This window comes from Homo sapiens, chromosome 6 (assembly GCF_000001405.40).
Source record: "Homo sapiens chromosome 6, GRCh38.p14 Primary Assembly".
In the NCBI taxonomy this organism is placed as follows: Eukaryota; Metazoa; Chordata; class Mammalia; order Primates; family Hominidae; genus Homo; species Homo sapiens.
The window spans coordinates 140828586-140856395 of record NC_000006.12 but is presented as its reverse complement, the minus strand read 5'-3'; the positions used below and the strand labels follow the sequence as shown (position 1 = coordinate 140856395).

At 33.7% G+C, this 27810-nt stretch overlaps 1 long non-coding RNA gene across 1 annotated transcript in view; it reads left to right on the top strand.

Annotated features, from left to right (window-relative positions):
- The window catches only part of LOC102723724 (uncharacterized), a 104643-nt gene that overhangs the window by 42029 nt on the left and 34804 nt on the right, over positions 1-27810 (top strand). Inside the window, exons 2-3 of the long non-coding RNA XR_428030.5 lie at positions 3472-3577; positions 10092-27810. The exon at positions 10092-27810 is cut by the window's right edge and continues 12454 nt beyond it. This is a non-coding gene — a long non-coding RNA (uncharacterized LOC102723724). The remainder of the gene's footprint in view (positions 1-3471; positions 3578-10091) is intronic.

The window sequence follows — 27810 nt, the reverse complement described above, 5'->3', positions numbered from 1 at the left end:
CATATTCCTTATTCTCATTTCCACTTAATTTTTCCCATATGAATTATCTACCATTTTTTACCATACGTGTTATCAGTGCTTTTTAACTGGTCTATAGTGATGGACCCAATTTTTTAATTTTTCTTCAGTTTATCGTAGATTGATATTTTTGCAAAATACAATGAGGTGCAATAAAAATGAAATAAAATGGTACGCCAAATTCAAGCTCTTCCTTATCTCTGCTAATGAGAAACTATTAGAATATTCCAAGTGGTAGATGATAGTGTTTTGGACCAGTGTAGTGGTAGCAAAAGTAATAAGAATGGGTGAGATTCTAAATATATTTTGAAGGCAAATCTGGTTGGATTTACTGATGGATTGGCTGTAGCATTTACAAGAAAGAGAAAAAAATGACTCCAAGTTTTTGGGTGTGAACAACCGAAAGGTTGCAGTTGCAATTAATTAAGAAAGACTAAGATAGCAACAGGTTTAGCAGGGAAATGTATGAGCTCAATTATAAACTTACTATGTTTGAGATGCCCTCTAGACACTCAAATGGAAATGTTGATCCTGAAGTTTCATATGTGAGTCTGGAGTTGGAGAGAGGTCTGAGTTAGAGATAGAAATTTGGTAGTGGTCAATCTATAAAAGGTGTTTTAAGCCTTGAGCTTGGGTGACTGATGAGTCAGTAATAATAACTGCAGAACCTATGTATGACTCATAGTTAGTGAACCAGAATCTATTCTAAACATTTTTCTAAGTATATGTTAATTTCATTATTTCACACAATTAAATAAAATTGGTACAGTTACCTCCATTTTATAGATGGAAAACCAAGGCCCAAAATGTTGGCAGGCTGGCTCAGGATTATATGGAGAATATCAAGAGAATAAGTATAAATAGAAAAGAGGATAATTCTGAGTACTGAGTACTAGGGTACATAAAAATTAAAGAGTAGATGTCTAAAAGAAAAAAAAGACAGCTAAGTATAATGACCTGGAAGTTAAGTGAGGAATATTTGTCAGTGTGGAAGAAGTAAATACTTCAGGATGAAAAGAAGAAAGGAAAAAATGGATAACAAATAGTGTAAGAGTGATTTGCTTTAGTGATGTTCCTAAGTATGCAAAAAGGAAACAACAAATGACCTTAAATATTGTAAACTACAAATGCAAATTTAATGTATTTGACTGTTACAAGCAGTTAAATTTTTGACATGGTGTATATACAATTCTCATACTAAAATTATATATATTTAGTAAATTAAGTATTGTTAAATATTGTGCACTTGTGCATGAAGGAAGGAGTAAGAACTAAACTAAATCATATTCTCATATATTTCAAATAGAAAATCTCATATATTTCAAGTTAAATTCTCTAAACTTAATTATAAATTTCTGACAAGCACACTGGATCCGTAAATTTAATGTGCTTAATATTTTTATAAATGAGAGGCATTTAAAATGTCAGAAGCGTTTAAAATATTAAACACTCATATTTATCTAATAATTATGCAACTTGTTCCTAAACACAACATAGTATAATTAATTCTGTATAATTATGTAGTTATTAGGTAAATACGTAATAGACATATGTGTTTGTGTGTTATACTTCATGTTTCCTATTATATATTATCTATTTATGTATTAGGTACTTTAATATATATCTTCCTTTGGTATAGTCATTTATATCAAATTGAGGAAAGTGAAAGTCAAAAGACAAGGCATGGATATGATGACTGCATATGAATAAGATGAATTTCTGCCTCAAAATTGGAAGCTGGATGCTAAATACTTGCAGAAATATTCTCAAGACAGTGCGGAACATGTTGAACTGCTTCTTCAACTTCAGCTTTGTCTGCTGTATTCATGTTGGACAATATCCTGAGCCTTTCATTTACTTCAAAAATCCAGTGTCCCACATTCCATGGGCATCTTCCAAGTATTAACCTTAGCCAATTATTTTATAATCTTTTTCATAATGCTTGATCTGAATAGATGATATTCCCTACTGTAATCCAGCTTGCAAATATTTTCCTTCACTTCTGGATTTTATTCAATTTATTATGGCTTGTTTGGCTTCTGAAGTTTTTCCTCTATTTTTTTTCCTATGTCTGACTTCTCATGACAGATTTAGAGTTGTTTTATTGTGTGAGGACAAGCTTTTTTACATAGAAAAACACAGAAAAAAGGAAGTAGACAGTGAGGAAAGAAGAAAGAATATTGTATAGAAAGAGAATAGCTATACAGTTTAAGGATTATGTTAGCAAAGAGTTTAAAATATAGGTGAATAGGAAAATAAAGTCGTATTTCATCACAAGATAGAGGGATATTCCTTGGAAAAAATCATTTTTCTGTTTCACCAAAGTTTGGTCATTTGGTCTTTAATCTTTGTCCTTCTTCAGAGTCATGTGGCAACACTTCTCTCCCTTCTGCTGTAGCTGATGCTTGTCTAGCCTTCTCTGGGCAGAGGCAAGGTCCTGTTTTCCTCCCTCTATTTTCTTTGTAATTTTTGATCAGGCATGAACTTGTTGCTTTTTTCCTTTTGTGGTGGACCCTTTTGACTGTCAGAAGCTCAGTGTCACAACTCAGTTTTGAAGCATATATATATAAAGAGAGAGAGACTTTTTTTTGAAGCCCTGCTACAGTAGGTGAATACTTGCAGAGGAAAATAGATGCCTAATGGAAAAGATTGATGAATTTCTGCGCAGAAAACATGCAAAATATTAATTTCAAGATATAACTCAGTACTTTAACAAAAATAAGAAGTAGACACTGGGAAATAGGATAATTCAATTTTGCTAATTTCCTTTAGGGAAAAATCAAGCTATTACACTTTTGTTTTACACTTTAATAATTATAGAAATGTTGTTTTCATTTGTATTCCTAAAGTGTTAAGATAGCTATTAATAAAACTAAATTTTACGTCAAAGATAGTGTTAAAAAGGAGACAACAATGTACAAAAATAATACCTTAAAAAGAGAAAGAGAAATGAATTATTTGAAATATACCAATATGCAACAGATGCACATTAGTTAGGATGTGTGGTTAAACTTAAGGCTGTAGATTAGGTTAAAACCAAAGTCCAACAATATGTTTCTTAAAAGAAATGTGCAACTAATTTAAAAAGAGATTTAATAATGAAAAAAACAAACTAAGATAAATTAGGGTAAAGATAAAGTAAAATAAATGATGGCAATTTATTTCTGTAAAATTAAATTTTGAGACATCAATCTCTTTGATAAAAGGAACAACTAATGGAACAATTCATAGTCACAAACTTCTATGCCATTTGTTAACAAAGTACCAAATATATAAAACAAAATCTGTTCAAGTGTATAGAGAATTTGTGAGGGGTACAATTTTTCCATGTTTTAACATTCATAATTGATTATGCAAGTGAAATAAATTGTTCAAAATATAATAATGAAGTTGATGTAAAAATATGTATTTATTCATTCTGAAAACATTTAGTGAGGGCTTACTGTGTGTCAGACATTCTTTCAGATGCCAGAGGATGCTATAGAAAAATGCGTGCCCTCTTGTAATACTTTGTTCAAGTTCTGATCAGAAGGATGAATGATGGAGCCCAAGAAGCCAGGTACAAATTCAAGCTTCTTCCATTCATAAGCTAGGCAGTCCTTACTCAAATTTCTTATCGTATCTATTCTTTAGTTTCCTCATCTGAAATGTAGGTGAGGCTAATTGTATATGCCAACTTGACTGGTTTCAAGACGCTTACATATTTGGTTAGACATTATTTCCGAGTGTGTCAATAAGGGTGTTTCTGGAAGGACTGGGCATTTGAATTGGTGGACTGAGTAAAGCAGCTGGCCATCCCCAGTGTGAGTGGGCATCATCCAACTTGCTGAGGGTTTGAATAGAGCAAAACGGCAAAGGAAGGATGAATTCTCTCTCTCTGCCAGACTGTTTGAGCTGAGACATTGGTCTTTTCCTGCCCTTGAGCTAGAACTTACACCATCAGAACTCCTGGTTCTCAGGCCTTCAGCTCCAAGCTGTAATTTATTCCACGACCTTTCCTGGGTCTCCAGCTTGCAGAGGGTGGACTGTAGGAATTTTCTGCCTCCATAATCACATAAGCCAATTCCTTATAATAAATCTCATTCTAGATATACATATCTGTATATCTCCTGTTTGTTCTTGCTCTCTGGAGAACCCTGACTAATATAGTTATTCTGAGGATCAGTGTTGTTTTGAAAACTGAATATTTCAGTGTGTGTGAAGTACTCAGAACAATGTCTGGCACAGGCAGATCCTGCACAAAGGTGGCTAATATCATTATTACCCCTTCTTTTCACCACACCTCTAGTATTTCTGTAAGTTGCCCGTATACTAGCCCAGCAAATGAACCTTGATATTTCCATAACATGTAATTACCTAATTCATATTGTTGCTACCATTCAACTAGAGATTATTACAAAATAATTTGAAAAACATCTTTATAATTGCTCACTGATTAAAGATTTTAAGATGCTTTTCTTTCAAATATTTTTATTTCTCAGAGCACCTACAATGCTTAGCGTAGGTCTTCATTTTCTGTCACTCATAATTACATTCTAATATTTTCATTATTTTAATATTTATCTATTTTCTCTACCTTGCATTACTGACAGGATTTTTGGCCATGTCTATGTTTTAATTTTCTGCTCCCCACATACAATTTGAACAAAATATTATATTTTAAATTCTTTACAATTTTTCTCTTATTCTACATTTCTCATTTAAACTTAACCAGTTGTCTTTTCACCTAATTCTTATTTCTCTTTAGGGGTCTCTTCTTTTATTTCACAGTCTGGGTATATTTGTATTTTATTTATGATGCTAGTCCATCAATTTTTTTGATTTTTTAATAAAATAACGCACAGAACTACTTATCTTCTTCTGAGTCATTAGGATATTTTTATATATTTTTATTCTATAGTATTTTTCATGCCAACTATTGGTACTTATAAGTTCTCAGGTGAGTTTGCTACACAACTACCTCTTTAAATTGACTTTGTTGGCATGATATTAACTTCCAATGACATAGCTATATGATCAGTTCACATTGAAGGCAAAACCCTGTAATAGACAAAATTACCTTGTCAGATTGACTCTGGTGACAAAAAAAGGCCTTTATTTTCTTCAAACTATTATGAAATTATTTATATTCTATTAGAGGAAGAGGATTTAGGTAATTTAGCAGGCCAAGTGTTTTGCAGGTGCACGGTCACAGTTACAGTGATTTGTAATTTGGGGACCCTAATAGCACTAGAAGCTGAACTGCTCCCTGAATACTCTGCAGTGCAATAAATGGTGCCTATAACAGTGCTGTGAAAAATCAACATACCCAAACTTACAGAGAAAATTAGCAAGTTCACTTGGGGGAAAGATACATGGCCTGAGCAGATTTTTTTCCTCTCTCTTCAAGAGAAATCATTTAATCCATTATTTTGGGAATCAAGACTGATAGTTATCTGAAACTGGATATTTGGAAAAAAAAACAAGGAAAAAAGAAATATTAACCAATTTATGACAAAATAAAATAGAAATATACTAATAGATATTGAGTAGTATTTATACACTAGGTAATTTTCTAATCCCTGCAAAGTAGGATCTATCACCCACAATTTGCAGATGAAGAGAATGAGATAGAAACATGTAAATAAACTGGTCTGAGATAACCATAAAGTAAAAGTCAGGAGTGGTTTTTAAATGCATGCAGTCTGACTCAGGTTCTCTGCTATTAATCTGATAGAAGTCTCTTAGGAAATTTGTCATCCTGGTCAGATAGAAAAAACAGCCCAAGTAAAATAACCAGAATAAGCAGCTCAAACCCAGAGCTTGAGATTCCCATGTCCCATCAGAAATATGTTTTGTCTATTCCTCAAGCTCCATAGTTTGTCTTTAGAAGTACATGCTAGACACTTCTACAGTAAAAGTAGTGAACAAACGCCACTGATGTAAGCTACAAAAGACATTTGCCAATTGTGCATTCTAAAAATTTGAACATATTTGAAATACTTAAAAAATCCTGACAGTATCTTCAGATTTGACCATTCTTGTAAGCATTTTGACACTTAATAAGCAGAGAACCTCTTACAGAGATTCTTCTGGTCCCTTTCCATTCATCGTAAAAGATTTTAATGATTTCTTTATATATTGAAAATCTATTTTTATAAAACTGACCATACTAATAAAATCATGTAACACTTTGTACACTTCTGGCTTTGACCTATAAAAGATAATATTTTTTAAAAATCATATGTAATACTATATTGCTAACCATACATCAGTTTTATTAAAGACAAATAGACATTCCAAAAGGGGTTGCACGTCACATTTTTTGCTCTAGTAAGAAATAAGCTATTTTCTTGTCATTCGCTTGGAATTCCAGTATTGACATTATATGCACTAATGATTTATTTGTAGGAATCTTTTTAATTGAATTGTTGATGTTTCCAAGGTAAAATCATAATATAATTTAATTACAATAATATAAGAGGGCAATTAATTATGTACCCTCTTGTATACCTGATTATGAGAACTGCATTCTGTGTTTCAACCCCTTAAACTGAGAACTGTTATAAAGTCCATAGTGTTAGGATATTTAGAAATAGAAATGTTAATGCAACCAAGAGAGATTAAAGCCTCTTGAGTTCATATGGCATATTAATTTTGGCTTTTCTTCAGCTTTGAATTCCCACTATTTAGTAACTTTGAAATTTCATTTCCTTTTTGGACATTTCTCAGCACCACCATGAGTCTAATATAGTAAAATTGGGCTACCATCCAAGTGACACAAGCCCCATGCACTGGGGAAACGTAGGGATGGTGGATTCTGCTCCAAGACTGAGATAGAATAGCTCTTTATTTTGCAGACCTTTCCTTTATTTTTACTTAACTTTCCTATATTTGACATGAGAGCAACACAATCTCATGAGAGGTGTGAAACTAAAGGAACAGGGCCAAAGAGGCCCATGCAGTCTCTTTTGAGCCAAAGTCCTGTAGATTTACAAGGTCTTCCTGATCTATACTTGATCTAATCCAGTGGTTCTCAAAATATAGTTCCTGAGTATCACTGTCACCCGGCTAGTACAAATTTTCAAGCCCTAGGCTAGACCTGCGAAGAGGGCGTCACAGTCTGTGTTTTAATAAGGCCTTCGGATGAAATCTGATGCATGCTAAAGTTTAAAAACCTGAGTTTTCAAATCACCTTGGCTAAGCTCTACATAGGGGTTTAAGTCTATGCAAGTAGAGCAATACGTAGAGTGATTTTTGTTTTTCTGCATTGTTGCTGAACCGTAAATAATCTATTTGTAAATCTTTGTTAGTAGTAATGAGTTTGAATTTAAAAATTTGGAGGTTAAAAATTATGATCTTTTTTTTTTCTGCCTCTCTTGTATGTACAGGTTAATCCTCATTACTTACAAATTCCCTACTTGTGAAGTTGTCTACTTGGTAAAACTTTTTGTAATACAAAAATCAATTTTGTGGATATAAACAGATAAGTCCGGTGTAGTAAAAAATGTGAATTGTCCAACAAGCACATTTCCAGCTGAGTTCAAAGTGATGTCTTGCCTTCTTTTTTCAGCTCACAAACAATAAACAAGTGTCCTTTTGTGATCTATTTAGTGCCATACTTTAGGCATTTTTTTTTTTGCTTCTTCTTGGTGATTTCACTGCTTAAAATGTCCCCCAAGGATATTGCTAAACTGTGGCCCTTTTTTCTAAACACAGGAAGACAAAAGAATGTGCCTTATGGAGAAAATACATGTGTTAGCTTAACTTCTTTCTAGAATGAGCTACAGGGCTGTAGACATAAGGTCAATGTTTATAAATCAACAATATATATTAAATAAGTTGTCTTTAGACAGAGACATACAAAAAAATAAGGTCATGTATTGCATTAATCAGTTGATAAAAATATTGTAACCAGAGGCTTGAGGGACCATAACCTGTATTTCCCATAGGAACAATGGTTCAATATTGACTGATTCTGTGTTTGCAGCAAATTTATAGAATGTATCAGCCACTAATAATAAAAATCAGTTGTATATAATTTATATTTCTCAATTCTCTGCCAACTTGCCAATATAACAACTCCAACTAGTGCTATAGTATTTTTTTACATTGACCTAATCTTGCACTTCCCAACTCATTTTAAGATTGAGTTAATGTCTGACTTCCAAACCCTTCTAGGACAATTTGTAATGGCTTGTTGAAATCCTGTTTTTCTATAGTGTAGTTGTAAATCATGACAGATTTTAAGTTCACTAAATATTTGACTTCAGCAGCATCCAAATATGTTTCTACTATTTGATAAAGAGGAACATGTTCTAATTCTCATCACTGAGGTACATGGAACAAAGTTAATATACTCTGTTAAAACATGCCTTTCACTAAACTGGAAATTTAGAAACTGAAAATGTTAAGGAAATAGAATGGTGGGAAAGTAGATTTCATGAATTGACTCAAGCATAAGAAAACTTTTCACTGTCCTGTGTTTTAGATGCAGGCCGCTCCCCATCTTCTGGCCATGTTAACACCTTTGGACCTATGGCTGTTTATCTCCATTAGATTACATAAAATGGTATAAAGCACACTATACTACAGTGTTCTATACAAATTACATGCTTTTGGAATGCTTTTTTCTTATTAACTATTAATATACAAATGTATTTTACAGTTTGATCCTTGGAATTTTTTTTCTGGCTTATTTATTTTATTCAGATGTATTCATTTAAAGCATTAGGAAAGATTTTCAAGAGATGGATACAGAGGTGAACAGCACAACTTAAATAGCCAAAATATTTACTCATGTGAAATTATGAATTGTTAATTAACAGAAGCAACTGTCAAAATCATGAAACACTATTTCTACCATTTATTTTTATTGCTAGAGTACAGGAAAAACTCATGTCTGTTAATCATTCAGCTTTAGACAATAACCAAGCTTTCATATACTGTGTTTGATGATGAATCTACTAATGCCAACTTCCTTTTTTTCTTACAAACTTCCTAAAAGAAGCAAAGCAGTTTAGATAGCAAGTCGATTAAATCAATTAAATTAAAAATTGATATTTTTATTTTATTTAAACGTAAACTTTTTTGTGAACTATAAAATGAAATATATTTAATAGTAAAAAGGAGGCATTAAATGGTTTTGGCTATTGTTAAATGACTCGTAGGTTAAATTTCTATCAGAATTTTAGATAACTTACATTTTAATCTCAGAATTTACTTTGGCTTTTATGATTTTATGAGTCAAAGTGCAGATGCCCAGTTTATTTATTGGAATATTTGCTGCATTTGTAATATGAAAGGTCATTAGGAATGACTCAACACCACAAAGCACAGTTAAGATTCTAAAACTGGGAAATGACAACTTATTATTTTTACACCAGCATTAAAGCCAATTCTCTTTTTATTTCATAATAGAAGTAAAATCCAATAATGAAGTCAATAGAAACAATGGTAGTCAGGGTTGATATTTATATTTTTATTCTAATGTGTGTTTTATCAATTAATAACTTTTTCTCTTTCAAACAAGAACTCAAAAAATAAATTCCTAGCCTAAAGAAGTTCAAAGATTTCTGATTTTAATATCATATATTTTATTTGACTCATCAATGTCCATGTAACCTCAGACAAGAAGAATGTGGACAGCATAATAATTGTAAACCATTTGCTACTGCATGATCAGAAACAGACACATAAACAAATTCTGGCCAAACGCATTAACGGAAGTGAGAGGGTTTCTCTAAAATCATCTCTTCATATCTAAATAAGAACCATAGCAAAATTAAGCTCTTCACATCCTCTGAATCAGTTTTGCATTTTATGGACTAGCTGAAATGGCTGTAGCCAAATTGCCACCATCTTTTAAGAAAAGCCAATGTCAAGGCTGGAGCAGGAGAGAAGGGGACCTGCTGTTAATGACAATGCTGAGCCATTGACTCCACCCATGCTGAAGACTGCTCAAAGGCTAGAAGTTGTGCTATTATATATGCAAGATTCTTATTGTCTAGGTATTTAGGTAAGTGTTTGTAAGTTTAATCAAAATCATTCCAATAGTTTTTGTTTGTTTGTTTGTTTGTTTGTTTTTGAGACAGAGTCTCATTGTGTTGCTCAGGCTGGAATCCAGTGGCATGATCTCGGCTCAGTGCAACCTCCGCCTCCTGGGTTCAAGCAGTTCTCCTAGATCAGCATCAGCGTCCCGAGTAGCTGGGATTACAGGCACCCGCCACCATGCCTGGCTAATGTTGGTCAGGCTGGCTCGAACTCCTGACCTCAAGAGATCCACCTGCTTTGGCCTCCCAAAGTGCTCGGATTACAGGCATGAGCTGCCACACCCAGCCTCCAAATACTTTTTTTTTAAATCAAAATAATGATTTCAATGACTGAGATCTGTTATGTATTTCAACATAATCATGTTTCATAAAGATTTAGTCTTCTGAAAGCCAGTGTGAATTGTTTTTTTTTCTACAAGTTTAATCAAAACCAAACAAAATCAACAAACCTCTACCCCCAAATGTGGTACTGTTTCCTAAAAGAATGCATTTCCTTTTTACTTCCATCACCATACATTGGTTAATGACTTCTGCACTTAAAATTCCTAACACACCTCACATAGCTCTTTTGTGCAGTAACACTTTTCTTCTCTCCAAATATGTGGTTCAATGGAAGTTACATTTTTTAAAATTATATTTTCCTCCTCACAACTTATTGGTTCTAAGATTTATACCCTTTCCAATGTGTATAAGACTACTGTGATTTTGGGACATGGGACCAAGTGTAGCATGTCTGATCCTATCTTTGATGGCAAATACTTCTGCTGTGAGATATGGGAGCTGCTGAGTGAAAATCTTTTACTGATAATAAAGCCAGTTGTCAGAGGGAAGCAAAAGTAAGAGAAGAAGAGACTTGAGGTGACTTTAATGAAAACTCCTACCTGCCAAAACTAGGCAAAAATATGACATACATAAATATAAATTTCCACAAGGAAATTTCTTTCCCACCTTTCTATATCTTTCTTACTCTTTATCATCACATTTACTAATAGAGATATTTAATGTTCTTGATACTCAAAGTGCATTTGATATACTATTTCTTACTCATCTCTTCCCTACCCCTGTTTCATATGGGGAGCTCCAGGCAACCTAGTGGGATGGGAATTGGGGACTGAGAGCGAAGAAGTGTAGCAATAGCATTAGCACAGTATTGGGGAAAGAGAGAGGAAACTGACAACATTCCTTCTTCTCACTATTGTTGTAGCTTGAGGAAGGCCTTTGCTTGGGGAGGTGAAAATGAAGGCTCAACTACAAAATGCAATTTAATTAACAAGATGGGAATTTTCCTCAGATAAGAGTGACTGTTAGACTTATTGTGCCAGAATAATGGCATAATAATAATGTTATGAAGACTATCTAAGATTTCTCCCAGAGAAAAGAGGAAGAACATATCATGGTGGATTTCCAGGCCACAGTGAAAAAGAATAGTTTTTTTGAATAGTTGCGTCCTAATGAGTTATGTTCGTTCAATGTAGCAGTTAGAGTGGTATAATATGGGCATGAACACACTACAGTTGTTGGCCCCAAAGATTAATAACAATGGGCATAAAACATGGAATAAGATACATAAATACTTATTTATATTGTCTCAATTTATGACAATAGGAATACTGTAAAAACTGATACAAAGCAAGTAATTCAAATAATGATAATTATAACTTTAAATCAAGAAACAGAACAAATTGCTTAAATTACATGCCAGAAAAGATGGCTAAAAAGGTTTCAGTGTCAATAATTATAACAGGAAATCTTCCTTTAAATCATTTTTACAAGAACAATAATTTTAAGCATCTCAAACACATGCACATTTACATTACCACATACGTGCACCCTCTCATTCTTTGGGCCATCATAAGTAGTATAATATTATGATGCTTTCATTTATTTGTTGCACATACACTCAACTCCTTCTATATTTATGGCCTGTTGCTGGGATCTAGGGAAAAATGCTATACAAATATGCAATGAACTCACTCTCCAGGGGTATATTTCCTACTTTGGAGACAGTTAACTAACAAGGCAGACATGATGCAGTTTGGCTGTATCCTCTAAGAGGTGAAGTTTTAGGACCGCAAGTAGACAGAAGGGGTTGAGGAATGAGGAAGCAGAGCTTCTAGATAAGGGTTTCTGCTAAAAAAAAAAAAAAAATGTGCCGCAGAAACAGATGGAGGTTAGGTAGGAGTACACTAAAAAATAAAAACAAAAGAAGAACAAAGGAATGGAACCCATGTTTTAAGAAGCCTAGAAAGCAGGAATAGTATGAGTACGTTGAAGGGGAAGGAGAAAATAGACGAGAGGCAAGCAGAGGCCAAATCACAGCTGATCTGGTAATGCATGTAAAGGAGTTTAGACTTTAAGAGTAATATCATCAAGAATAGTTTCAAGCTATGGAACTCAAGTGGAAATGACACTAAAATATTTGCTTTATAGAAAGATCTTTTTGAATTTTTGATTCCTAAAAATATGATGGAAATTCCTATGGATTGAAATAACAGATATGCTGAAACCAAAACAAACTGCTGTGTTCTAAATGTGTCCTCCAAACTTCGTATGTTGTAACTTCATTGCATTGTGATAGTATTAAAGGTAGTGCCTTTAGGAGGTGATTAAGTCAGAAGGGCAGAGTCCTCATGAATGAAATTAGAGACCTCATAAAAGAGGCTGAAGGAAGTCTCTTTTGCCCTTCTGACCATTCAGCCATGTGAGGACAAGTATTTGTCCACTTAGGAGGGTACAGCAACAAAGTGTCATTATTGAAAGCGAGAACGGCCTGCACCACACACGAAACTTGCCAGTGCATTGATCTTGGACTTCCCAGCCTCATGAACTGTGAGAAATACATTTCGATTATTTATAAAGTAACCAGGCTATGGTATTTTGTTGTAGCAGCACAGATGGACAAAGACACAAACATATACAAGTTTTTAAAGCATCACTGGGATGATAAGAAATTCACCAATGCCAAAAAAAATATTTTAATTAAAAAAAGATGAAAAGAACCTTTTTAGCTTTGATATGGTTTGGATATTTGTCCCTGCCCAATTCTCATACCGAAGTGTAATCCCCAACATTGGAGGTGGGACCTGGTAGGAGGTGTTTGGATTATGGGAGCCGATCCCTCATGAATGGCTCTGAACATCCCCTTGGTTATAAGGGAGCTCTCATTTTGAGTTCACATGAGATCTGGTCATTTAAATATGTGTGGCATCTCCCCCCATTCTGTCTCTCTCTTGCTCCTGTCTGGCCTTGTGAACTTGCTGGCTCCTCCTTCACCTTCCACTATGATTGTAGGCTTCCTTTGGCCTCCCCAGAAGCCAAGAAGATCCCAGCACCATGTTTCCTGTAAAGCCTGCAGAACCGTGAGCCAATTAAACCTCTTTTCTTTATGTAATACACAGTCTCAGATATTTCTTTATAGCAATGCAAGAACAACCTAATGCAAGCCCCAACAATTTCTGTGGAAAAATGGAAGTTCAACTCTTCCTCTTTGCAGACTGCATACAATATAGCATATGACACACTGTGGGGAAGCATCAAATAAGAGACTTCTTCATAAGATTAGTCCTCAAAAACAGTGATTAAATATATATTAAGCCCCTACTCCTCAGAAGTGACAGCAAAGAAATTTGGCTTTCTCATTTTTGGCATTGGGTACAAGGAACAAAATGATGTGATGATAGATAAGCATTAGCTAGTTATTACAGAAGATTGCATTCTGAATATGTGACTATCTTTAAAAAGTACAATCTGCCACATGTAACAGAGTTAACTGGAACACTGCTTATGTGTTAAGAAAAGTTTTAAGGTGAGAAATTAAGTTCAGGTGGTCTCAGGTAATCAAATGCAAGTTCTCTCCTGAAAAACATTACAAAACTTGGATTATAGGCTACAGGTAAATTATATTGTGATTTTTTTCAGTATTTCTCATTTCATTTTATATTATACCCTTCTATTTTGTATCTTATTAGCCCTTGGATTTATGAATGTGTCTGATGATTCAATGTGATGATTTGTTAAGATAAGGTATGAAATGGAAGAGGAGTATGTTAGGCTGGTACCGATGGATAATTCTGATAAGGTTAGTGATGAAGGCTTACATTCTGCCGAGCCATGTAGTGGTGTGGAAAGGGACACATAAAATCTCCTTTTCCAACAAAATCTCTCAGTGAATTTTACTTGAGCTGATAGTCCAACCTGGCATATGTCTTTCTGTCTTCTCTGACAAACTCAAAATGCAACATTATTTCCAGGAAAATTAAAGACACTAATTTCAAATCACAGTCATTGGATAAATGATGGTACTGATTGTTCTATACAACTATTAGAATCTACAATATAATGTTTGTTGAAAAGTACATCCTGTGAAAAGGATATAAGTTATGTATCAGCAGAAAATATTGTCCAGAAAAGTCACACAAATGGTCAAAACCTAATAATGCCAGCATGTAAAAATACACTGAGATAATTGCTGAGAAAAGATGCTGAAGAAAAATTTGAAAAGATTCTACTTTTAAGGAGTATCATCAAGGCATTGATGATATGTTACAATATATTGAAGAGGTTTTGTGTAATAAACTGAAAAACCAGAACCCTAATATCCAAGTTGATGAATAGATTTCACCAATAAATGGCATTCTGTAGTATTTGTAATATTTGTAAATGATAATAAAATTCACAGTAACATTCCCTGTGCAAAGAGTGGTCTGAAACAAGCAAAGGACTAGATATATTTAATGTATTATCTTTATATCTGAAACAGAAGTTCTATCTTCGATGGGTTGTATTAGCATTTGCACTAGGTACTCCATCAATAGTTGGCTCCTTGAAGATTTTACCTCTTGTATTAAGCCAAAGTCCAAATACTGTCATCAAACAATACTTTGTTCACAAACTGGTGCTAGTGTAAAGAAAGTCATGGAAAGGAAAGAATAAAAGTTCAGAAATACCACAAAAAATGGTCAATTTTATTAAACCCAAACCAGCTTGCTTAAGAATCTTTTAAAAAATGTATAAAAACCTGGGCAAACATCACACACACACACACAGACACACACACACACCTCCTGCTGCAAAAAGGAATTCAGTGGCTTAATGGAGGGAGAAAGTTCCCGATAGGATGTTTCAGCCGAACAAGAATTAGAGAAGCACTGTCAAAAAAAAATGTAGGCCGAATTTTGCTGAGCACTTTAAAGATGAAAAATCGCTGCAGAAACCAACTTAATTGGCAGACATTTTCATCACATGATCCAGTTTAACAAGTCTTTGCAAGGATCTGGATATATATATATTTTTACTTTAAATGCAAGATTTCTGTAGTTAAATAAGAAAAATCACATATTTAGAAATATCAGTTGCATTTAAAAAATCATGTTACAAAAGAGAATCTTGAAATATTTTTACCACTACTTGGGCTTAGACTGAGAAACGACACGAGCAAAGCCCAAACTTTTTTGAAAATCATCTAGAGAACTCCAGAGTAATACTGAACAGTATTTTTCTTCCCTCTCAACTCAAAGTATATAACAGAATAATAAACACTTTCTCTGTAATTTCTTTTCAGCCTGAGACCTTAGCTTTGAAAGAAGAGGAAGAGGCCGGGAGCCATAGTTCATGCCTGTAATCCCAGCAATTTGGGAGGCCAAGACAGGCAGATTGCTTGAGCTCAGGAGTTGGAGACCAGCCTGGGCAACATGGCGAAACCCTGTCTCTATACAAAATACAAAAATTAGCCAGGTATGATGGTGTGCGCCTGTAGTCCTAGCTACTCTGGAGGCTGAGGTGAGAGGATCACTTGAGCCTGAGAAGTTGAGGCTATAGTGAGCCAAGACCGTTTCACTGCACTCCTGTACTCCAGCCTGGATGACAAAGTGAAATCCTATCTCAAAAAAAAAAAAAAAAAAGAGGAATAACTTAATGAGCTGCAGTGTGACCACACAATCAAGATTAGAGTTACTATTCTGTCTCTAGACACCTTCTACATTTCTATAGAAGAAAAAGAATCTCCCTCCAGTCAGAAGGCACTGAATACTTTGATGCAGTTTTTAACTTCTAACATGTGTATGCAACCTTCTACTTGTTTAAAAAGGCATTGGGAGCAACTACAGAAATTGTCTCATTCAGTTTAAAATGAAACTAATGTGTGTTTATTGCAAGTTTGAACCAGCATTGAGCGACTATTTAGCAAAGAAACATAGGCACAGTTTTCATATAAATTTAATTATTTATATTTGATTCCAAAATAACTTTTAGGCATATATAGAGTTATGAAAAAGTTTATGTAACCAACACATGTGCATAACAGTTTGATAACTGATATATTGAATCTAAACATACCACTCAGAAAATATTTTTTCCAAAGATATGTTAAATTATATTTTAGGCCATAATTTTAATCATATGTCTTTGGTTTACAGTTTTAGTAGTTTTATCATTCAACCATATCAACCCATTTCATGTTGTAATAACATCAAATAATATCCAATTAGAATCACCATTTATATATTTTCTTTATGAGTTATACATCTTGAAAAGGAAGGAAAGAAATTAATGGGCAGAAAGGTAAATTAAGCTTAATACCAGATTTTACTCAAGAAAGTTTGGCTGACAGGTCAATTCTGGTTTTAAGAAGGGGAAAAGAAAAAAGAAAACTTTTTCACATACTTTATGGTAATATCCTTATTAGAACTCTGTATAGTAAAACTCTATGTTAAGTCTTTCAGAAAAACTTGAATTGAGTTGAAAAAATAAGTAGGAGGTGAAATTTTTTTTAAAGGAAGAAAAATTTGAGTTGTTTTATATATATATACTATTACCTTAGTAGATGGTAGAGAAAAATATACAAAAAATGATATAAGTTGTCCAACATAAGCAGATCTGCAGAAAATAGATTATTCTCTATTCAAAAAATAAGAGGCAACTATTATTGGACTAATATATCTAAAATTTATTATTCATGCTAATATATTATGCAATGTAGATATAACAATTTTTTTTTGCAGAGGTTCCCTGAGACATGTAAATATTTTCAAGGTTTTCTCCAAGGTAAAAAGTGATTGAGAATGAGTGCTGTAATATATGTAAATGTAAGCATATCACATTAAATGAAAGCAAAATAAATGAAATAACCTTCTTTCAAAAATGAAGTTCAGACTGTTGTAAGTATGAAATATATGGATATACTGTTTTCAAGAGTCAAGCCTAAAATGTAAAGGAACGGAAAATTAAATTTCAAAAGTTAGAAATGTATGTGTAAAGCATAAACTAAGTAGATGATGCTGTTGTAGTTAAATTAATATCAGATTAAAAACCACACAAACAAAATTATGATAAAGTTAAAAAGGATCACTACATGAAGATTTAATGCATATCTAAGTTGAACAGTTCTAAAATTGAATACAGCTGTTCATATAACTTAATTTAATGAAAAATTTGCCAAAATTTTAAGAAAGTGTGGCCAAATCTAAAAATTGAGTGGATGCTTTTAAAAACACATTATAGAAATGGATGAAATTGACAAAAATAATCAGAACGAATACAACAGACATTACCAGCATAATTAACAGGACAGAACTAATGTCACTCACTGAGTAGGAAATACACACGATTGAAGACTATTCAAAAAACATTCTGAAAACTGATAATGTAATGGTTCATAAAGCTAGCAGCAACAAATGACAAGGAATTTTTATGACATATAGAATAAATTATCTGATCACAATATATATTTACTCCCATTCTATATTCCAAAAGATCTATAATTCAATTCCCAGTTCAGGTGGAATTCCACAGTTCCATTTCATTTCCAAGAGAAAAGAGTGCATATTTACCAAATACGTAAACAATGATGTTCATAGAAGATAAATACCTCAGAGCCAAAGAGCTGGAAATAATCTAATATTCATCAACAATAACATTGATCAATAAATTGTGCTACATTCATACAATGTGATACTGTACAGCTACAAGATTGAACTACTGGTACGTGAAACAACATGGATGAATCTCACCAGTGAGATAATAAATGAAAAAAGTTAGATACCAAAGAGTGTATACTGGTGTGGGGAGAGATTGAGGCATGAGATCAACTGGAAAGAGGCTTTAAGGAAACTTACGGGACACTGTAAATCATTTATCTATTGGTCTGAGTGGTAGTTACATGGATTAAAATAGTGGTATGTAGATACATTTAAATTTGTGTCCATCCAGTTGAGCACCTTAGGAATATTATACTGTATTACAAATAAACTCATTAACTAAAGAAGAAATCATAATAAAATTTAGAAAATATTGAGAATTGAATCAAATAAAAATACTAGGTAAAAATGTATAGAATGCAGAAAAGCTCAGAATTAGTGAGCTAAGCAACAACATGAAGAGTTTAGAGGCCAGGCAAGGTGGCTCACTCTTGTAATCCCAGCACATTGGGAGGCCGAGGTGGGTGGATCATGAGGTCAGGAGTTCGCAACCAGCCTGGCCAACACAGTGAAAGTCCATCTCTACTAAAAATACAAAAATTAGCTGGGCGTGGTGGTAGGCGCCTGTAATCCCAGCTACTCGGGAGACTGAGGCAGGAGAATCACTTGAACCCTGGAGGTGGAGGTTGCAGTGAGCTGAGATTGTGCCACTGCACTCCAGCCTGGGCAACAGAGCTAGATGCCATCTCAAAAAAAAAAAAAAAGAAAGAAAAAGAATTTAGAATAACTCAAAGTAGAATGTGATTAAGATAAGAGCAAATAACATAATAGAAAACTACATTAATCATAATATAAAACTATAACATATTAATCATAATAGAACAAATTTACCAAAATCTAATCAAAAAGAAATACAAAACTGAATAGTTCTATAATCATTTAAACAGTGCGATTGGTTATTGAAAATATTTCTAGATATAAGTGTCAGTCCCAGAAAGTTTCTTAGAGAACTTCTTTCAAACCTGGAAGGAAATAAAAATTATAATTTTACACAAATTCTCCCAGGAAAGAGAAGAGAAGGGACACCTTTCAATTCATTTTATTGGACAAACAGAATGGTAATATTAGACAAAGACAGTAAAGGAAAAATATTGATCAATCACTTTTATGAGTATAGATGCAATACCATAAACAAATTAACAAGCTAATTCATCAATGCATTAAAAACAATGCATTTCGATCAAATTGAGTTCATAAAAGGAATTCCAGGTTGGTTTAACATCAGTGAAAAAACATTAATTTATTACATAAAATCATTAAAGTAGGAAATAATATTATCATCACAATATACAGAAAATTTATTCAGCGGAAGTCACTATGTATAATGATTTTTTAAAGTGCTTGGATAACTAAGGCATGAAGAATGTCTTTAAGTTGATAAAGGGTTTCTATAAAATATCTATAGGAAGCACCATTTTTATAGATCTTTTTTTTTCTATCAGATAGCGACAGTGGCATTTTAAATTCTCCCATTATGGTAATTGATTTATCTAGTTCTCCTAGTTAAAAATTCTATCAAGTTTGGCTTTATATATCCTAGGAGAATGTTAATAAGTCCATGAAAATTGAGAATTAAAATTTTTTATCCTTTTGAAATATCCCTTTTAAAAAAATTGAAACTGTCAGCTTTATTTTGGATAATATTTGTTTGTTCTTTTTTTTTACTTTCTTTAATTTCTGTAAAATTCTGTATCTTAGTTTGTGCAGTAATTAGTATGAAATTGGGTTTGATTTTACTTTAAACCAATATGATGATATGTGTATTTTATTTGGAGTTTCAAAATTCATTTACCATTAATATAATAATTATTGTATCTAGCTTATATTTAACATCCTGTCAATGTTTGATTTTTGTTTCATATATTTGCCTGTTTTCCGCTACTTTATCAGCTATTTCTGTAATGACCAGTATTGTTATTATTAGTACCATTATTATTCAGTATTTCTTCTCCATTAGTGTTTTAATTATACTTAGATATACTATAGTTTCAGGGATTATCTTCACTATTACATTATTCATCTTGACATTAAAATCTAATGCAATTAGTACTTTAACTTTTTCCTGGAAAATGCAAGAATGTAAGAATCATTTGACTGAATTAATTCTCCTACCCTTTGTGATATTGTTGCCATGCATTTTATTTCATTACATATTATAAACTTCAGAAGACATGATGATGCAGTCAATAAGTTTTCATATTTATATTTACTTTTACCTTTGCTTCTCATTTATTTCTTGATTCCTGTGTTCCATTATGGAATCTTTTTATTTCTGCCTGAGAAAATCCTTTAGTATTTGTATTAGTCAGGATGCAGTTAGGGAATAGAAAATATATTAGTATTTAAAGAAGGAAAAATTCAGTATACATATTTGTTAACTATGGAAAGGGGTAAAAAAGAATACTGAATGGTTTTAAAGTCACAAATGCAGGAAACAACTACCACTTCTAGAGCTAAGAGAGTGTGAATCAGGAAGGAACTAAGAACTTAGACGAGGTCCCCTGCTAATAGAGATTCAGGTATTTCTGGCAAGGGCAAGAACATGCAGACTGCTAGTGGTAAAGAAACATGCTGAAGTAAGTGCACGTGATAGTGAAGATCTTTCCAGAGACCATGGTCATAGGTGTTGTACAGGAGTAGCCTGCTAGGTGATGAGAAAACATCCTGAATGTTGACCGCAGCTTGTCCATATGAACCACTGGTGTGAGTGCCACCAGGCTTGCCACATGCTTCTGGATTGGCTGTCACGTTGAAAAGCAGCACAGCAGATAGAAGAAGAAAGCTCTTTTCTACTTGTCTCCTTTCACAGTGTCCTTCCAGGAATGTCTTAAACCAGCTAGCAAAGGAAGAATGTCTGTTAGGTTCAGTTCTAGTATCACAAAGAAAGGTAAAGAAGAGTGAATGATGAGATGAGAGGCATTTTTCAGAATGGGCATAATCTACCCCTTCACCTCTTCATCTTCCAGACACATCCTTCATGTAGTGTGAGTTTCCATACAGCAGGCAAACAACTCTATAATTCCATCGAATAAAAAGTTGTTATCCTTTTTGTAAGTGCAAAGTCCTTTTTCTCTCACAAAAATGATGAGGCCCATGGTCCTAATAGCCCATCATTTGCTATATTATTCACTAATCAAATTCAGTCACAATCCCACTGAATATTGTTATCTAAAGACTACATTATAAAATTATCCACCAATATGTTGTATATAAAATAAAAAGAAAAATGGGAAAGAAGAGAATATAATTAATATAATCTAATACATATACATGTAACAAGGAGAAACAGTAAAATTAACTATAGTTCACATTTTAATAACTGGTCATGACTATTATTAATATTTATGACTTTTCTTCTACAAGCTTTGCCATATTCCCTTGCTCTCAGAAAAATACTGCAGCTGGCCAAGATTTTGTTAGGTGGGGTAACCCAAACTGTTATTCTGAAAGGGCTATTTTCAAAAGTCCTACTTTTTTTGTTTGTTTATACTATCATTAATCTTAACTTTTGGATGTGAAAGTACTAAGAGGTATCCCTAGAGACTCCCAGGAGTTCCACATGGATTCCTCTTCGCCTCCATTGTAAAACTGCAAATCTATTTCAGCTTCATAATCATTATCATTATGACTATGATATATAATCATATTCATATAATTATGAATATAATAAATCAGAAGAATAACCACTTTCTGTATTTGTTAAGTCGATGACATAAGGAGCACAAAATGTCCAGGAGGCATTCTCATGTGTCAATTCAATGGAAACAATGTGTATCTGAGTAGTAGCAGTCTTCCTTTAGGAAAAAAAAGAATTCCACACTAGCAGAACTCAAAGTTCTTGATACAAGAACCAAAATTTTCACAAATAGACTATTAGGTATGCTAGTGAGGAGTCTTTCCCACTTCCTCTCCTTAATTCTCAGACCCATGTATTCCGGCAATAAAGGAGACAGGAACATAAAATGGTTTCTGATTGAGTTTAGCATTGTCTTCCAACTGTCACTGTAACTGAGTCCTCAGGAAGCCAATTCTATCTTTCTATTAAGCCAGTGACTTCTCAGGTATGTGCAAATACAAGTAAACTATATGAGCATAAGCCAATTGCTTCACTTCTTTTTCTATAAAATAAATTTCTTGATAAGAAGCAATTTTATGCAGTATATAATGATGGTAGATAGGTAGTCCATAAGTCAACTGGATGGCAGAGCTGGCAGAAGCATTACTGGGAGATAAAGCAAATCTGCGTCTGTATGCAGAATAAGTGCATACCCCAGAGAGGCAGAATCTCTGCTCCCTTTGTGAAGAAGAAGTTCAATGTAATCAACCTGCCATCAGGTGCCTGATGGTACTCCTGGGGTATGGTGTCATAACTGGGTCTCAGCACTGGTTACTACTAGAGACATTTTAGGTACTTAGCATTAGTAGTAGCAAGGTCAGCTTTGGTAAGAGGAAAAACATATTTTTAAACTCATTAGTAGTCTTACTCCTGACAGTATAGACACTTTGTTTATAGTCCCATTGAGCAAATACTGTGGTTGCCTGAGAAAGAAGTTTACTGATATTCACAGTGTCATTGTGTCCACTTGATTACTGAGAGCCTTCTCAACAATGGATGTTCCTTAGTGTTTATTCATATGAGATATAAATATCTTCAAATCTGGGCTCATTCTGAAAGCTCTATCCTCTTCCCTAGATTTCCAATTTTCCAATATTATTCTTTCCAAGTCTCTGACCTTTCAGCCAAACTCTTAACAACTGCCTGTGAATCAGAGCACATTTTTTTCCTGGCCAAATAGAGTGGCCAATGAAAGTAAAATAAAATTGTACCGTTCAAGATTCTGCACACTGGAAGGATTTTCCTTTATGACTCTGCTTCAGAATCACCCCTGGGGAGGGTTGTAATTTCTCAGCCATCTACTTCTGGATGGGATCATATCATGTAGATCCATCTTTTAACTAGGCTCAAGTTTTAATTTCTCATTCAACTAATTGTAAAGAACATGAAGGCTTAGGCAATGGTGAAAGGAGAAGTTAGTGTAGCAGGAGTCAGTATCAAGAAAGTGTGATCTACTTGCTCAATTTACTTGTACCTTTCAGACATGCCTGAGCCTAGTCTCTTATATGTAAATATTTTTAGTTGATAATATATTCCTACTGTGCATGAACAACTTTTTGGCTGTGGGTCAGATAATACCAGTTAGTGATAGGTATCTCAGGCTGAAGGGTCATCTGATACTACCATGGTTAGGACCTCAGTCTCTTCTAAGAGCCAGTAGCAAACATGATGCTCTTTCTCCACTTTACATCGCTATAATTTTCATTTATTTTTCCATACGTTCTCATTCTTTCTCGAAATGTTTCAGCTAGTTTTCTGTATTTTTAAACATTTTAAACATGATCATATAAATTTTGGTGTCTATTACTCAGCTTTGGACATTTAGAATTTGAGGACCATGGATTATCAAAGTACAAATGTTTAAAGGTTATTTTATATATATATATATATATATATATATATATATATATCTTTAGTTTTGTAAATAGAAATGAATAGGAGATAAAGATTATTGAGTTATTAATATTAATGCAGAGACAGTAATTGAGGCCACTGGAAGGAATTAGCTCTCCAAGAAAAAGTAGGTGGAATAAGAAAAGAGAACATAGGATATAATTTTGAGAAATACCCATATTTAATGTTCAGGGAGAAAAGACATTAAGAGAATAACCAAAGGAAGAAAAAAGTAATCAGAAGAACATCTCACCAAAAGTTAGGAAGTAGAATATTTTTTGAAGGAAGAAATATTCAATCAATAATGTTAGACTGGGAAAGAAGTCCCAGAATTGTTCAATAACTTTTGGTGACAGTCTCTGGAGTCTAGCAGTTATAAAGTGTGGGTTTTGAAGCCTACTGATTGGACACAAATACTGACTCTACCACTAATAATTGTGTTATCTAGTTAAGCTGTGTGTATTTCAGTGTCAGTTCTTATGGAGTATTAAATTAAAACATGTAACTAATTAGAACAATGCCTGGTACATGGGAAACCATAACATGTTGTTATTATCATCATCACTTTTGTTACTATTCATTTTATTTTGGCAAAAGTGACACATTGTAGTGATAATGGGCAGCAGATTGAGGAATACATAAAGCATTAGTGGAAACAGAGTAGACTGTATTTTTCATGAACTATTAACATATTTGACTGGGAATGGTAAGACATGAAGTGGTGATGGAGTTAAAATAAGATATTTCTTTTTTTTTGGATAAACTTGAGAATTTTTACTTTCTGAAGGGAAATAATCAGTGGAGGGAAGGTTGAAAATAGAGAAGGGAAGAACAATCTATAGCAAAAAAGTTCCTGAGAACACAGAAAGATACCACAATGCAATAGGTAAAGGGATTTGTTTAGGTATAAGGAGGGAAGCTTCTTTATTGAGTCTACAGATGTGCAAGAAGGTTAGATAGTATGCAGATAGATTATTAATGGCAAATTGGTATTATTAAACATTATTTTATACTTTTTATTCTACTGATCAGTGTATATTTAATTTATTCTTAAATTATATATTTATTTATTTGATCATTTGTTGGTTCTTCAAGTCATTATTTAGCAAATGTTTCCTGAGTACTTAGTATTTGCCCAAGATAATGTTAGCAAATAAGGATATAAAAATCTTGAGAATTATAGTCTGTGAATTAACGGAGAGGCCAAACTAGCTGGAAAGAAGCATATAAAGAGTAAAGTCTGAAATATGTCGAGAGCTGTGAGAGATAAATACAGAGTGTTGTAGAAGCCTAGAATGGATTGGGTGGGTTGGTGAGTGGTTTGAAGCACAGGAGTGGAAAGCAAAGCTCCTTTTCTTGGTTCATAAGCCAAGGAAATGCAAAATGCTTTTAAGTTTGGCAACTGACTCTGATTTTCCAACAGTGTTTTGTGGAAACTTGGGTTAATTTTGGATCTCCACAAGTTGCTGCAGAGGCAAGTAGAAAATTACGTAGCAGAACACAGCCCTCTGACCCATTCAGTTCAAGTCTATTTGGATCTTTTTCATAAATGAGGTCCTGTGTAAGATTTTGGTGTAACAGACATTTCTGCTATTTAAATAAAAACACATTTAACACGTTTGCCTTAATAATTTTTTGAAGGAAAATCTGATGGAGAATCAATAGTTAATAGACTCCACAGATAAATTTTTAAAGATATTTGATGATTATTTCTGGTTTCAAAAAATGCATATGATTATTTCTTATGACACAGGCAATAAAAGCTTATCTTTCTTTACAAAGAATCTGTAAGTTTTAGGAAAACTGAGACATAGAGAACAAGATATGCTCTTTAATATGCTTAGTATGTTGATAATGTTGTCCATTTAAAATAAATTATACATGCATATGAAAAATTTGAGGAAATACAATTCCTGAAACATTTTTAGCGCATGAAATGTTGAGAGTTTTAGCATTCTTTCTAAAAACATTTCTGAGCAAAGAATGCAAAATACAGCTGGAAAATTATTATGCTGAAATGTTGATTGCATGTTTTTAAAAGAGACAAAAATAAAGTAAATGTGCTAACCAGGAAGTAGTGTTAGCAACAATCCCAAGAAGAAAGAATGTGAAATGCAGAAAAGAAGTAGTAATTAGGATTGTGAGTCATTATAATGTTAAAATTGAAAATTGAATCATATTAAAGTTATTAAAGTCAAAACTTATGGTTCCTTAGTAGCATTATCCGAGTCATATTACCCATATGTACTATTTTCTCTTCCTGTTTGGTTTATTTTGCCTCTGGTCTTCAGCCATTAACGCAAAATGAATTAAAATTATATTGTTCTGTTTTTCAAAGATTGCTTTTTTGCTTCTTCATTAAAAAATGAGATTATAAAAATGTCTGTCAGACCATTCACCTTTCAGTTTCTTGACATAAATGTGTTTAAGAACTATATTTTGAAGACTATTTTTTTTCACTCGGTACTTCAGTTTTTTTACTTACATTTACAATGTGCAAAATTTCAGGAATGGCAGGTAAGAGAGATAAGTGACTAAAATAAGATGGATTTGATCACCCTTTCCACATTAAGAAAGACATTGAAATTGCTTCATTTGGGCATGTAAACAGACAAAAAAGCAAACAGGGAAACAACTTTTTTTCATTGTCATCCCTGGACTCCTTTCTGTTTCGGCACAATACATTTTTTTCTTCTTTAATGTTTTTGAGGAGAAGAATCATTATAATCTTAATAGTTCAGTAAATACTTGTTTACTTCCTCAGTTGCTAGACTCTTAGGAGAAAAAGTGATTTTGACAATGCTTAGGAATAAAATAACCGAATACTACTTAAGTGTTTCTGCGGTGCTTTATGGGCTGGCAAATGGTCAGTTACACACACAATGCCACAGCTTTCTTCTGACATAAGCTTTTCATTATTCTCCCTTGCTGTGTGTTGTGTCTCTTCTTTGTTTCTTTCTTTTTTTTTTGAGACGGAGTCTCGCTCTGTCACCCAGACTGGAGTGCAGTGGCTCGATCTCGGCTCACTGCAAGCTCCGCCTCTTGGGTTCACGCCATTCTCCTGCCTCAGCCTCCTGAGTAGGTGGGACTAAAGGCGCCCGCCACCACGCCTGGCTAATTTTTTGTATTTTTAGTAGAGACAGGTTGTCACCGTGTTAGCCAGGATGGTCTCGATCTCCTGACCTCGTGATCCGCCCGCCTCGGCCTCCCAAAGTGCTGGGATTACAGGCGTGAGCCACCGCGCCCGGCCTTGCTGTGTGTCTCATCTAGCATCGTTGGCGGGGCTCACAATAGCGCATCTGATTTTATGCATAGCTTACTATCTTTCAACATGCTGAAGCAGCAGGAGTTGAAAAAAAAAGGAGAGTGTTAATGGAATATAGGAAAAAGAAGGAGGAATCAGCAGAAAGAAAAAGAGAAAGGTACCACCGACGATTCTTTTAGGGCCCCTGGTTCCTTTAATTTTCCTTTTTGTTTCTCAGTGATCTGACATCAAAGACCCAGGCTAGACGTAGGTCTGGCTAAATTTATCTGATGACGTGATCAGTTCCAGCATCCTTTAAGTTTTGTGGAATAAAAAGTAAATAAAAAGATTTGAATCAATCAGATACCTGCTGAAATTAACCAGTCAATTTATTTAAACGGTTCATTGAGCAGTCCGGTGACGTGACAATCACACAGCTAGTGGGAAAATGAAAGAAAAAGAGCGGTCGGCTGGCTAGTTTTTATATATGATGACAATCATTCAACTTGAAGTCTCATTTGTTCTTCCCTTCACAGTTTGCCAGACCTGACTGGTTATTTTCGTAACAGAAAGACATAGACATAGTCTCTGCCAAATCTGCTTCACGATCAAGTTTAGTGAGTCAAGCAAGACTATTCATTGAGCATTCATAAGTGCTATGACAAGGAGCTACAGATTTTAGGAAATATGATTATTCAATAAATTAGACATAGCCACACTCCTCAATCATCATTCCAAAGGAGGATATAAGACAACTGCACATAAATAATTATCAAGAACACTGCAAGGAAGAAATTATAATAGAAGAGAAATTTAGTTGAAATGTTAGTGATCTTATAATCAATTTACAGCTAAATTCAAGAATTCCTCTTAAACTACGTCAGTAATCCTCAAGTGTGTGCATATTTGCAAATCATAAATTTGTAAAGATATTTCTAAATCTAAACATTAAGAGAAGGGGGGATAAAACATTGTGGATATGAAAGATATCCTACCATTGATAAAATATTTGATCTTGTGACACGAACAACACCC